We start from the raw sequence: 13,344 nt of genomic DNA, 5'->3' as shown, positions 1-13,344 counted from the left end.
AGTTTCTTCATTTGTAACATAAGGATAATAATAGCACCACCCTCACTGAGTTGTAGACAGGATTAAATAGTCAGTACGTGTAAAGGGCTTAGAAGAATGCTCGGCATGACATCTAAATAGGCCCTCACTGATAGCTGCTACTACGACTGCTAGGACTTCTATAGTTATTCATCTTGAGTCCCACTCCAAAGCCCTCAGTCATGAAGCATGAGAGAAGACCTTCCTCAAGTTTCTACTTATTAATTTTCCAAACTTCTCTGAAAAATGCTCTGTTTGCATTTCTGCAAGCTAAGGATGTTCCTTAGAGACTTTCAGTGCTTTCTGATGTCTGACTGGAGAAAGATAGTTTCTTTCCTGGACCCATTACCATATTTCCAGCACAGGCATAATTTCAGATACTGTGGCTAGGAACATAATTTGGAATTTCTTTACTACTCACTGGCTGTTTGATTTCGGACAAGTTAACGTTTCAGAACCTTAGTTTTCATATGTGGAAGCTGAAGATATTAAATGCAGTGAGAATTAAATGAAGTAATGTAAAGTGCCTAGTACAATGATTTTAAGTAGAAGATATGATTATTAGTGTCATTTCCAGGAACAATTTTTGAGGTTAACTCTAAGTTTTGCCCTAAGCTGAGCCCTGGGGCACTGTATCCAAGAACCCACTTTTGGGCAGGGGAATAGCCTCTGGACCCATCTCCCTCCTAGGGACACACAGCTTGTCAGGGTTCCTCTTCATTTAGCCTGCAGATAGCCATTGCCATCTGAATTTCACAGCAGGAAGTTGATCTAGATAGCCTTTGCCAGCAGTAGACCCTTTTAGGTGCAAGTTGCCCAGTGTGAGATCCCTAATCACCTTCTTTGAAGATGAGGATGATGGCTCAGCTGCATGTAAAGACCTCTGTGGGTCAATGTGCTTGCTTTAACATTGAGTATTTTGTTGCCACTTTGTTCCTTCTGTCTTCAGATGCCAGTGAGGTACTTCTCCAGCATTAATAAGCACATAGTGAAACTTGAGTCCCAGGGTCAAGTAGGATTAAAATTGAGTGACTTTTGGCTTCACTACTTGTGCACTTGCTGGGCTGGGCTGCACCAAGCAGGCTGGAGCTACTTCTGCAGAACATTGCCTTAAAGTGTCAGGAATAAACAGGCATGTGCCTGGCGGATGTTGACTCGCACTACCACATTCCCTCTTTCTAGCTCTCCTTGATGGTGGAAGTGTCTGTGGTTCTGACAGATGGCACAGCGCTGGGGGATGCCTGGGGATAGTGCTACTCCCCCATTTCTGTGGGAAGCCAGCCCAGGAATTCCTCTTCATCTGACCTGGTGTGGATGTCTGTGAGGTTGGAGCTCTCTGACAGTGGTGCCTCTCATCAGAGGCTGCTTGATTCCCTGTCCCATCTCTACTTCTCCACCAGCTATGCTTTCTACAAATGCATGTGTCTCCTCTGGATGGGACACTGCTTCTCAGGCTTGTTGTTGGCCATCAGTGCCAGGCTCAGAGTAGATGCAGCATTGACAAGGGGAATATGTGAGTCAGCAGAGCCCAGTAAGCAGCCTATAAACCAAGCTGGTGCCCTCAGGGTTTCCAAAGGTGTAGCTGAGCTGCTATCAAGAGTCCTGTCAAATTGGGAAGAACATGCTGACAACTTGTTTTAACATAAGTACGTGCTCTGCATTGGGTCTTTCCCATGTTCTTCATTTGTGCCATAGAAATTCCTTCTTTCACCTTTAAACAACTTCAAAAATATTCCTAATATAAATGCATAGCTTTTCTTAAAATCCTGACAATTTGGCTGGGCACAGTGTTTCATGCCTGTAATCCCAGCACTTTGGGAGGCTGAGGTGGGTGGATCACAAGGTCAGGAGTTCAAGACCAGCCTGGCCAATATGGTGAAATTCTGTCTCTACTAAAAAAAATACAAAAACTAGCCAGGTGTGGTGCTGCACGCCTGTAGTCCCAGCTACTCGGGAGGCTGAGGCAGAAGAATCACTTGAACCCGGGAGGCAGAGGTTGCAGTGAGCCGAGACTGCGCCACTGCACTCCAGCCTGGGTGACAAAGCAAGACTCCATCTCAAAAAAAAAAAAAAAAGAAAAAAAATCCTGATAATTTTATAAAAACATTACTGCATTTATTGACTGTCTACACTTGCCAACTCCTTTACACACTATCTCACTGAATCCTCACAAACCCAGGTGAGACAGTGCTTCTCTCAGCTTACAGATGAAGAAACAGAAGCACAGAGGATTAAGTAAGTTGCTCAAAATCACACAGTTAGAAATTGAGGTGCAGAAAAGTCAAGAAATGTGCCCAAGGTCATGTAACTCTTAAATGCTATCATGGGGGCCTGAACCGAGGCCACTTCCACTCACACTTCATTGGCTCACTGGAATCACGTGGTGATGCCTGACTTCAAGAGGGGAGTGAATGCAATTCTGCTATGAGCCTGGGCAGTTTCCTTATAGTAAAGAGGTTATGGTAATCATTACATCTATTTCATAGGAGTGTCATAAGAATTCAATGAGTGATTGCATATTAAATGCTTGGCACAGAGTTAAGTCCTTATTAAATATCAGCTGTTAATATTCTCCCTATGGGATGAGCAATTTGACATATGCAACTGTGTGGATTTATTTTCCTTCTGCATAAAGTTGACTAAATGTCTCCTAAATATTAGACCATGTGCAAGGTGGTTAGGGCTATGAAAATGGACAACAAAGGAGCCACTGTATAGCAAGGATAAGTTGAAAGCTGTTTTAGTTCTGATTCCCAATCTTGGTACATGCTAAGATATACCAGAGAGGATTCTGAAATCTTACAAAGAACATAGAGTTTGCCTACCAGTTTTGGCTTATTTTATGTCACTGACACCTTTAAGGTATTGCCAAGTTTGTGATGGTAGTTGTGAGATTTATTTATTCTCTGTTTTAAATTAGACATTTATCCCACAGTTCACCTAATGTTTGCATTTTTCTTAGTTTGCCCTTCCCTGTGGCATCCTAATAGGATGTGACAATACAGCTCGCCTGTTACATGGTTGAGTTCTGAAGATTGCATTTCATGTTTCCAGGAAGCCTTCAGGCCCCGGGGCTACTTTCTTGGAGGAAATCAAATCATCTTATGACCACTAGAGGGCAGTAGCAACTTACGGATGCAATAGGACAAACAATCCCCCCTTCGCCCCGCCCCCGCAAAGGTAAGTTGCAGATGATCGGCTAAAACTGGCACTCATTTAACAGATGAGGAAACTGAGTCTCAGGGAGGGCAAATTGTTTTTTCAAGATCACACAAAAGATGAGTGGTAGGTTTGCATCTGGAAGCTGATTCAAAGTTTGAAACTTAATTACAAATGCTACCGTAAAACAGAAAATCAAATTTAGGCATCAGAACTTAAAGAATTTGTAGTAGATGAAAAATAGTCATATCGCTGGCAAAAAAGGAAAAAAAAAAGAAACAAACAAAAGAGAAAAAAGAAAGTGAAGACTAAATATTTTGCTTATTCTCATGCGTGCCTAGAAAGGACATCCTGGGACTCCACCACTGGTGAAGAAAATCTTAACAATCTAGGGGAAGAGGCTGTTACCAGAGCAGCATCTGAAAGCCAGGACATTGCAAGCGAAAGGTGGCTTCTGGAGGGGAGACTTGGTAGGGAGTCATCCTAGTAGTTATAGGTTATCACAGGCCTAGAATGATCAGGGATAAAGGAACCCACACCTACATTCCAGGCTGGCATCCCTGGACATTCAAGAAAGGTTCAAGTTAATGCCCCAGCCAAAGCTCTGACCATCTTAGTGCTATGATGAGAATATGATTTTAAGGCAATATCGTTTTAGCTAGAGATCCAATACAGTCATTGTATAACATAGCTGAGTCTCCTCCAAAGTGGACAATTTTTCCCTATGAGCAACCTACACCTGGGAAATGCTTAGCCAGGATCCATCTGTATCAATTAGAATTAGATCTGGCTATTAAAAAACAGAGACCCAAGGCCTGGTGTGGTGGCTCACGCCTGTAATCCCGGCACTTTGGGGGCTGAAGTGGGCGGATCACCTGAGGTCAGAAGTTTGAGATCAGCCTGCCAACATGGTGAAAACCCCTGTATCTAATAAAAATATAAAAATTAGCCGGGTGTGGTGGCAGGCACCTGTAATCCCAGCTACTTGGGAGGCTGAGGCAGGAGAATCATTTGAACCCAGGAGGCAGAGGTTGCAGTGAGCCGAGATCACACCACTGCACTCCAGCCTGGGTGACAAAGTGAGACTTCATCTAAAAAAAAAAAAAAGAACAACAACAACAACAACAACAACAACAAAAACCCAGAGACCCAAAATAGCAATGATCCAAATAAGACAGAATTTATTTGTGTCTCTTGAGGGTCCAGAGACAGGGAATCAAGGGAAGGTATGTAGCTCTGCTTCACAAAGTCCTCAGAGACCTGGCCACCTCCATCCTGTTGGTCACACATGTGGCCTTATTTGCACAATCACCTCATGTCCCAGGAGGGCTATAGCAGACTCTGACATCATGTTGCATTCTGGTCATTAATGAGGAAGGGATGAAGAAAAGGATAAAGGATAAGTAGCAGTCATCTATTTAGGAAGATTAGGTTCCTGGGAATGTTATGTGAAACATCTGCCCACAATTCATTGATTAGAGCTTGGCCACATGGCCATGACTCCTGCAAGGGAGGCTGGAAAACATAGTGTTTATTCTTAGCGATTACTCTGCTCAAGTAAAAATTATGGTTTTAGTATTATGAAAAAAAGGGAACATGGATATTGACGAGTAGTAACTGAAAATCTTTGTGCAGTAGACCTGGGCATGAACCACCCAGATTCCTCTTCAATGAAGGACTTGCTTTCTGGGTGTACCAGGAAGTGTGGTTAGCAGGTGACTGTCAGTTGTGAGTACCTTCAAGGGTTGGCCTCAGCTGTAAATAGCTGAGGTTACAACTTCCCTAACAGCCAACATCCAGTGATTTAACAAGGTGGCAGTATAAAGGCCCAACATTTCCAGCCCAATCAGACCTGCATTGTAAGCTAATCCTGCTTTCACCCCTTCCTTTCAAAGGTATTGGTCCCCAATGAGCACCTTACACCTTAAATTTTGTCTCCCCATCTGCTTCCAGAGAACCCAAGCTGGAATGGTTGGTACCAGTAATGGCTGGTTAAAGAGTGTCGGCAATGAGATACCGTTTTGGAGTAGGATTATTCACCACCTGTCTGTAGTGAGGAGCTTATCACTGTTGGTGGGTGATCACAGACAGCATCTGGTATAAGATGGAGGTCCAACTGTTAAACAGTGGTGAATTGGGGGTATTGTACAGTGGAAAGGAATATACTAGCAGACAAGATGTGTCAGGCTGTTTGAAAGGTATGAAGAAACAGGAGCTCTAAGGGTAACAGTATTGGATAGCTATTGCTAAGTGCCAGTGATAGCCTACACTAAGATAATGAACAGTGCAGGACAAGTAGCAGGCAATTGAAAGGCAGGTGTGAAAGCCAAAGAGTCTCCTTGGTTATATACAAAGAAGCCCCCTTGTCTTGCTTGAAGAACAAGAGGAAGCCAAGGATCAAGCTTAGAACCTTATAGGTTCAGTGGCTGAATATCAAAGAAAGTTAAATGTCCACTTAAAGCAGATCTGTTATGCCGGAGTTAGGGCCCTGATTAGGAAATCCTAGGACTCTGACACATGAGATAAAGACATCTGGGCAATGCTTCTAAGCATTTTGGCTTCCTAGACTGCCTTGAAACTTCTGAGGCTGCAAAAGTGGCTGAACACTCTCTGGTAAGTGCTAGCACTCCTCTGTGCTGGAAGAGGATGCAGACACCTCTTCTCCAAAAGGCAGTGGGTACCACCCCCTCAGAATCCACTCCTACTTCCCCTCTTGGGGATTAGGCCTATAAGCAGGGTTGGTCTCAGTACATCCCAGCTGAGAATGTGCTGGTCCTGATAAGGAAGCAAAAATATTCTACTTTTAAAAGGCTGCAAGATGTAGTCAATGTATCCTGGGACTACATTCTGAGAGTGTTTGATCAGGGGGCCCAGAACATAAATTGAATAGGGAAGACTTTGTTGACTTGGAAGTACTCTCCTGACATTCAGGATTTAACATCCTGGCAAGGACCCCTGACTAAGTAAGAATTTGCTACTAGGATGGCTCCTGGAAGCATGAAAGAAGCAATGCACTATGCTTAGAAAAGTTTAAATGCCAGAATTGCGTTGGCAGATGGTGGATAAAGGGATTAAACAGCTCAGGAAAGTGGGCATGCTAGAATAGGTATACTTTGCACAGCTGGAAGGCTAGCCAAATGGCTATGTTCCAGCATATTCTTTTTGGTCTTCTTAAATGAGGCCACATCATTTAAGAACAGCAAAAGAAATGTGCTGGTGAGGGGCCTACCTGAGGGTGGAGGGTGGGAGGAGGGTGAGGATTAAAAAACTACCAGTCAAGTACTATGCTTTTAACCTGGGTGATGAAATAATCTGTACACCAACCCCTTGCAACACACGATTTACCTGTATAACAAACCTGCACATGTATCCCTGAACCTAAAACAAAAGTTAAAAAAAAAAAAAAAGAAATGCATTGGTGAGAGGGCCTTTGGCATCACTAAGATGTTCAGTGGTAGCTATCCCCTATAGGCTGGAGCCGATGATAAAAGATGTTATAAAATTTGACTCACTGATGGCAATGGGGATGATAGGACCGTAAAAGAGCTGTAGTCAGGTTGAGGTGCTTAGTCTCCAAAATATGGGGGAATTACAGTCATTGCAACAACCAGTAAGGTTAGAGTGGAAGCCAAGAGGACGTGCTCCACAGAGGGTTATGGAGATGGTGAATTGAATATGGTGTCCTAAGAGGTTAAACGAATGGACATCTGACAAAGGTACTACTTAGCTTGTACTAGCAGCATAAATCAAAGATGGATAATTAGAAGGCTGAAGGTGATTGCTCCAATAAAAAGTTATGTTCACTTCCTAGTTTCCAGACACCAGCCAGTTTGTAGACTTCTAGTCTATTGACTGATGCAGTGGCCAGGTTTCTGGGAGGAAGGTCCTTACAACACTATGGCAATTTTTTACTATAATGATTCTTTCCTCAAAGGGATTTCGGCCACTTTCTCAGGTAATTGAATGTGGGGAAAGAGAAATACTCTGATAGTTTGAGGACTTTTGAACACCAGCTCTGAGTTGACATTGATACCTAGAGACCTAAAATGTCATTGTTGACCCTCTGTTAGAGTAGGGTCATGTGGGATCTTACATTGGATCCATTGGGTCTGAGAACTCACTCAGTAGTCGTTTACTCAGTTCCTGAATGTATAATTGTGACTGACACACTTGACAGTTTGTACAACCTCAATATTGGGTTTTTGGTCTTTGGGGAAAGAGCTATCATGGTAGGAAAGGGTAAAAGGTATCATAGTAGAGAATGCCACATGGAAATCTCTGAAATCATCCAATTATACCATGGCCAAGTCATAAACCAAAATCAATATTGCATCCCAGGGTGAATTGTGGAGATAAGTGTCACCTTTAAGGAACTATAGCAGGAGTTGGCAAATTCTTTTTTCTGTAAAGTGACAGATAGTAAATAATGTAGACTTTGTGGGCCATATGTTCTGTCACAACTATCCAACTTTGCTGCTGCAGCATAAAAATAGCCATAAAATGTGTAAAGGAATGGGTGCCACTGTGTTCCAGTAAAGCTTTAGTTACATAAATAGGGGGCAGGCTGGATTTGGTCTTTCGGCCTTAGTTTGCCGACTCCTGATCTAATAGGGTCATGAGAGGTGGTCTCCATAATGCCTCAAATTAATTCACTAGTTTGGCCCCTGGAGAAACTGGATGAATGTTGGATGATGACAATGGACTATCTTCAGCTCAACCAAGTGATGGACCTGATTGCAGCCCCTGTGTCAGATCTGGTATCTTTGTTAGAAAAAATGGATATGACCTCAGGTACATGATGCGGAACAGGAATTTGGCCAATGTATTCTTTTCTATCCCAACCAGAAATGAGGACCAGAAACAGTTTGTATTCACATGGAAAAACCCAACAATATACTTGATAGCTTCCCCCCAGGGTTTTTCTAACTCTCCCACTCTCTGTCATAATATGGCCCGAAGAGATCTAGACCTTTTAAGCATTCTGCAGAGCATCACATTGGTCCATTACTTCAGTGGCATTGTGCTGATCAGCCTGGACAACAAGTTGGAGTGTTTGGTAAACACAGGTGCTCCAGAAATGGGAGATAAGCCCTGTGAAGATCCAACAGCTTGCCACATCTGTAAAATACTTAGGAGTCTAATGATTAGGGGATTGCTGGGATATCCCATTCAAAGTAAAAAGATTATTGCGTCCTGCATCATCTACCAAAAAGAAGTAAACACAACACCTGGTGGGACTCTTTAGGTTTTAGAGGCAGGATATTCCACATCAAGAGATACTTATCTGGTATATACACTGAGTAGCATAAAAGACTGCTAGATTTAATAGGCCCCAGAGCTGAAAAGGGCGCTGCACCTTTCAGCTCGACAGTTCAGCAGACCCTATGATGTTGGAGATGGAGATATTGGTGATAGGAAAAGATGCTCTGTGGAGTTTGTGACAAGCTCCAGTAGGAGAATCATAACACAGCCCCTGGATTTCTGGAGCAAAGCTATGTCATCTATAGCAGAAAATTATATGTCTTTCAAAAAGCAACTTCTGTTGTGCCACTAAGCTCTGGTAAAGACAGACTGCTTGACCATGAGCCACCATATGACTACAAGGCTGGAACTGCTCCTCATGAATTGTGCCCTGTCGGACCCACCAGGCCATAGGTCGGGTGGTCTCAACGATAATTTTTTGTAACATGGAACTTGTATATCTGGGACCAGAATGAGTAGGACGAGAGGATGCAAGCAAACTGACCCCCAGCACACCCGTCACTGTTTTACTAGAACTGTGACCTGTATGGAGGATCATGTCCAACCAGCTGAAATAGGAGAAAAATCTTGATCTTTGTGTATGAAGAGGTTGGCATGGTAGATGCACACAGGCTAAAAGGGATAGTAGCTGCACTTTAACCTTTCTTATGTGTTGCCTTGAAAGACAGTGGTGACAGAATATTTTCCCAATGGCCATAGTTTTGGGTGGTAGACCTGGAATCCACTTTTCATGGAAAGATAAGTGTCTAAGGTAAGACTACCACTCATGAGCAGTGGCGAATGGCCTGACCAGCAGGTCAAGGGACTGTAAGGAAAATATTAGAAGACTGCGAATAAGAACATCTGGAAGAAGGGCATGTAAAAGGACATATGGGAGTGGGCAAAAGTGTGAAGATCTTTGTATCACATTTTATCACTCACCAGAAAGTGTTTGCTATAGAGGAAGCACTAAACAACCCAGGTAAGCCAAATGACCCAGTCCATTGAAAAGAGCCATTCTCTGTCATCGGCCACCTGCATGATGAGCACGTGAACAAACTGGCCATGATGGCCAAGGTGGAGACTACCTATTGGCCCGACAGCAGGGACTCCTATTTGTCAAGACTGATATAGTTATTGCACAACATAAAATCAACCTGCCACCAACAGACACTAATTCTGAGCTCCTGAAGGCACCATCCCTTGAGGAGGCCAACTAGCTACTTGAAGGCAGGCTGTTGAGGCCATTGGGTTCCTTCCTTCCAGGAAGAGCCAGAGGTTGTTTTTCACAGGAACAAACACTTATTCTGTGTATAGGTTTGGCTTTCCTGTCTGTAGAGCTTCAAGCTGCACCACTACCTGACGGTCTATAGATTTTGATCCACTGACTCAAGCCCCGCATACTGTGTCACACCAGGGGATCCATTTTACAACAAAGAAAGTACAGGAGTGGGCCCATGACCAAGGAACACACTGATCATTTCACATATTGGGCCATTCATGTGCTGACGGCCTGATAAAGCATTGGAGCAGCCTGCTGAAGAAATAGCCAAACTCCAACTATTAGGTAATATCCTTTGAGGACAGAGTGCCATCCTTCAAGACACAGTGTATGCATGGAATCAAAGACTTTTAAAATAGGTTGCTATGTCTCCAGTAGGAAGAACACATGGGTCTTTGAACAAATAAATAGAAGCAGGAATGACCCCACTTACCATCACTCCCAAGGATCTACTGAGGGACTTTGTGATTCAAGTCCTTGAGACTCTGGGCTCTCTAAGGTCAGAAGCCCTAGTTTCCAGAGTACCCACTTTCACTGGAGGGCATAGTAAGGGTCCCATTTAATTTTAAGCTATTGTGCTATTATGGCTGCTGCTTGGGCACTTTGGCATCCTTGTGTCTGGGGATCAGCAGTACAGAAAAAGAGTTACTGTCTTGGCATGGTGACTTCCTGATTACCAAGAGGATGTAGCCTGTTGTTACTAACGTAATCAGAGAGGACATTACATGAAACTCAGCTGATTCACTTGGGTTCCTTTTGGTGCTCCCTTGACCAATTGTGACTGAAAGTGAACAGGAAGAGTAAGCCCAACCTGGGAAGGGTATGGTAACCAGTGGCTTGAGGGACTTGAGCATGAGTGTCTTGGTCAATCCACCAGAGGAAGCCACTGAAACCTGCAGAGGTGCTAGCTGAAGATGAGAAGAATCTAGAATAGAAAGTGGAGGAGGGAGACAGTGAGGATCCACTGTGGTCCTGAGACCAACCGCAGTGGCAGGGCTGTAGTTCATCCTACTATCTCCGTCTATATTAGTTTACTTGGCCTGCCATAACAAAATACAGTCATCCCTGAAACCAAACCCAGGAGATTAGTTTTAGGAAGAACCAAGGATACCAACATCTGTGGATGCTCAAATTCCTTATATAAAATGGCGCAATATTTGCATATAACCTATGCACATTCTCTTGTATACTTTAAATCATCTCTAGACTCCTTATAGTACCTAATACAATGTATATTCTATGTAAATAGTTGTTGTATTGTTTTTATTTGTATTACTTTTAATAGTTGTGTTATTTTATATTTTATTTTTTCCCCCAAATATCTTCGATTCGTGATTGGTTGAATCTACGGTGTGGAACCAGGGATATGGAACCTGCAGATATGGAGGGATGACTGTCCCACAGACTGGGTGCCTAAACAATAGAAATTTATTTTCTTACTTTTCTGTAGGCTAGAGGTCCCAGATCAAGGTGTCAGTATGTTTGCTTTTTTCTGAGGTCTCTCTTCTTGGTTTGCAGATTGTCACCTTCTTGCTGTGTTCTCATATAGTCTTTCCTCTGTGAACATGCATGTCTGTGTCCAAATTAATCCCAGCTACTCAGGAGGCTGAGGCAGGAGAATCTCTTGAACCTGGGAGGCAGAGGTTGCAGTGAGCTGAGATTGCACCATTGCACTCCAGCCTGGGCCACAAGAGTGAAACTCTGACCAAAAAAAAAAAGGAACCCAAGTCATACTGGATTAGGATAAACCCTAAATACCTCATTTTAGCTTACTTGCCTCTTTAAAGAACTTATCTAGAAATATATGGTTATTTTCTGAGGTATTGGGGTTTAAAGCTTCAACATATGAATTTTGGGTGGACACAATTCATCCCATGAGACTCTCTAATGAACTTCCATTTAAGTAGAGAGACCCAATAGAATCCTTGAATAGATGTTCCCTAAATGCATATGAGAAGTGGATTTGAGCAGTGCAAAGGGTGGACTATGAATAATACAGAGATGCACCACTCAGTTTCCCTTTCAGTTGTGAGGTGGTCAGCATAAACTTCCTGCCATCAACTCCTGAAGGGTTGGGCTCATCTATAGAGAGCCAAGTTTTCTGAGGTCATACCTTTATAGGATAGGCTGCATATGGTGACAGAGCAAGACAGGGGTATAGAAGCTTGGCCACTTTGACCTGACATGAACAATTATGATCAACAATATTTCCTCCAGAGCTCCCCTTCACATTGGCTAAGGTTTTGTCAGGGATGTGCTGCAGTTTGACTTCTCCCTCTGTTCAATCCTACGTCCTCCCTTGGAATCCCAATAAATCTTGGAAACTCAAACTCCATCTCAAGTGTCTGCTTCTAGAGAACCCAACTGGTGACACTTTGCCTCCCATCTTTAGATATACTGGCTGTATTACCATTCTAGGCCTTACTGATATTTCCAGAAAATTAGTTGAGCAAAAATGGAAATAATTGAAGATTAATAGAAGGTAAGAGTAAATATAATGACCTTGTCTTGTTGCTCCTGCCCTTCTTTAAGCCTGTCGACCGGTGCCATTCACTTGGCCCCAGTTAGGATTCTGGCCCCAGTCCTCCTTAAGCAAGTCCTTGAATGCCAGATCTAAGTATTATAACTCGGTTCCCATGCTTTTCATCTCTGACCAAGCTCCCACTTTACCCTGTATTTTATATCCAGCAACTACTCAGTCTTGTCCCCGTATGGTTTGTTTGCCCCTAGTGGCTCTGGGCTGCTGTGTTAAATTACTGGAGCACAGAGAAAACAGCACATGCTTCATAGAGGTCTTTTGCTGGTTGTCTCTGCTCTCTTCTATCACTCTTTACATTAGCACATAATTTTTCATAATGTAGTACTTTGTTGTCATAAAAAAATGATAATCTGGGGTGGTTCTACTTTTCCTTTTAGAAGATTTTTCTGTCCTTCTTTATTTAATTTCCTCCATCTTCTCCTGCCTCATCCTCTTTTCCCCTTTCTCTTCCTCCCCCCTCTTCTCTTCTTGCAATTATTGGCTCCTTCTTCATGGCAGGAGGACATGCTTCAACAAAGAGATAAAAGACATGGTTCCTGCTCTCTGAGAGCTCTCAGATCAAGGGGGTGGGGGTGAGGGATTCAGAAATGAACATCATCTCCAAATGAGTGCCCAGTACTGTGTCTGCATGAGCCAACAACTCCCTGGGAGCAAGGTGTGCAGCTTCTCGGAGGAGGTGGGGTTTAATCTGAGTGCTGAAGAATGGGAAGATTGTTGTCATGTTTGCTTCTGGATTCTTGGCTACATATGTGCTTGTTTTGGAGAGTTTATCCTTCAGATTAGCAACATGCAAATGTACTTAACATACCACTGCTTTTATATAAATGACTGTTTCTGATGTTTTTGAAACTTATGCAGCCCAAAGTAATTTATAGATTCAGTGCTATTCTCATCAAACTACCATTGACATTCTTCACAGATTTAGAAAAAAACTACTTTAAGTTTCACATGGAACCAAAAAAAGAGCCCATATAGCCAAGACAATCCTAAGCAAAAAGAACAAAGCTGGAGGCATCATGCTACTTGAATTCAAACTATACTACAAGGCTACAGTAACAAAAACAGCCTGGTACTGGTACCAAAACAGACATATAGACCAATGGAA

The 13,344-nt window shown here is 43.0% G+C and overlaps 2 annotated features.

Moving 5' to 3' along the window:
• Positions 520–1,188: an enhancer, noted in NCBI's record as "OCT4-NANOG hESC enhancer chr3:137667351-137668019 (GRCh37/hg19 assembly coordinates)". NCBI's record gives its function as "activates a minimal SCP1, AML or CMV promoter by ChIP-STARR-seq in naive H9 embryonic stem cells {active_cell/tissue: H9 hESC(naive)}" and the evidence as "EXISTENCE:reporter gene assay evidence [ECO:0000049][PMID:30033119]".
• Positions 2,996–3,497: an enhancer, noted in NCBI's record as "NANOG hESC enhancer chr3:137665042-137665543 (GRCh37/hg19 assembly coordinates)". NCBI's record gives its function as "activates a minimal SCP1, AML or CMV promoter by ChIP-STARR-seq in naive H9 embryonic stem cells {active_cell/tissue: H9 hESC(naive)}" and the evidence as "EXISTENCE:reporter gene assay evidence [ECO:0000049][PMID:30033119]".

This window comes from Homo sapiens, chromosome 3 (assembly GCF_000001405.40).
Source record: "Homo sapiens chromosome 3, GRCh38.p14 Primary Assembly".
Taxonomy (NCBI): domain Eukaryota; kingdom Metazoa; phylum Chordata; class Mammalia; order Primates; family Hominidae; genus Homo; species Homo sapiens.
This window is presented reverse-complemented; position numbering and strand designations above follow the sequence as displayed.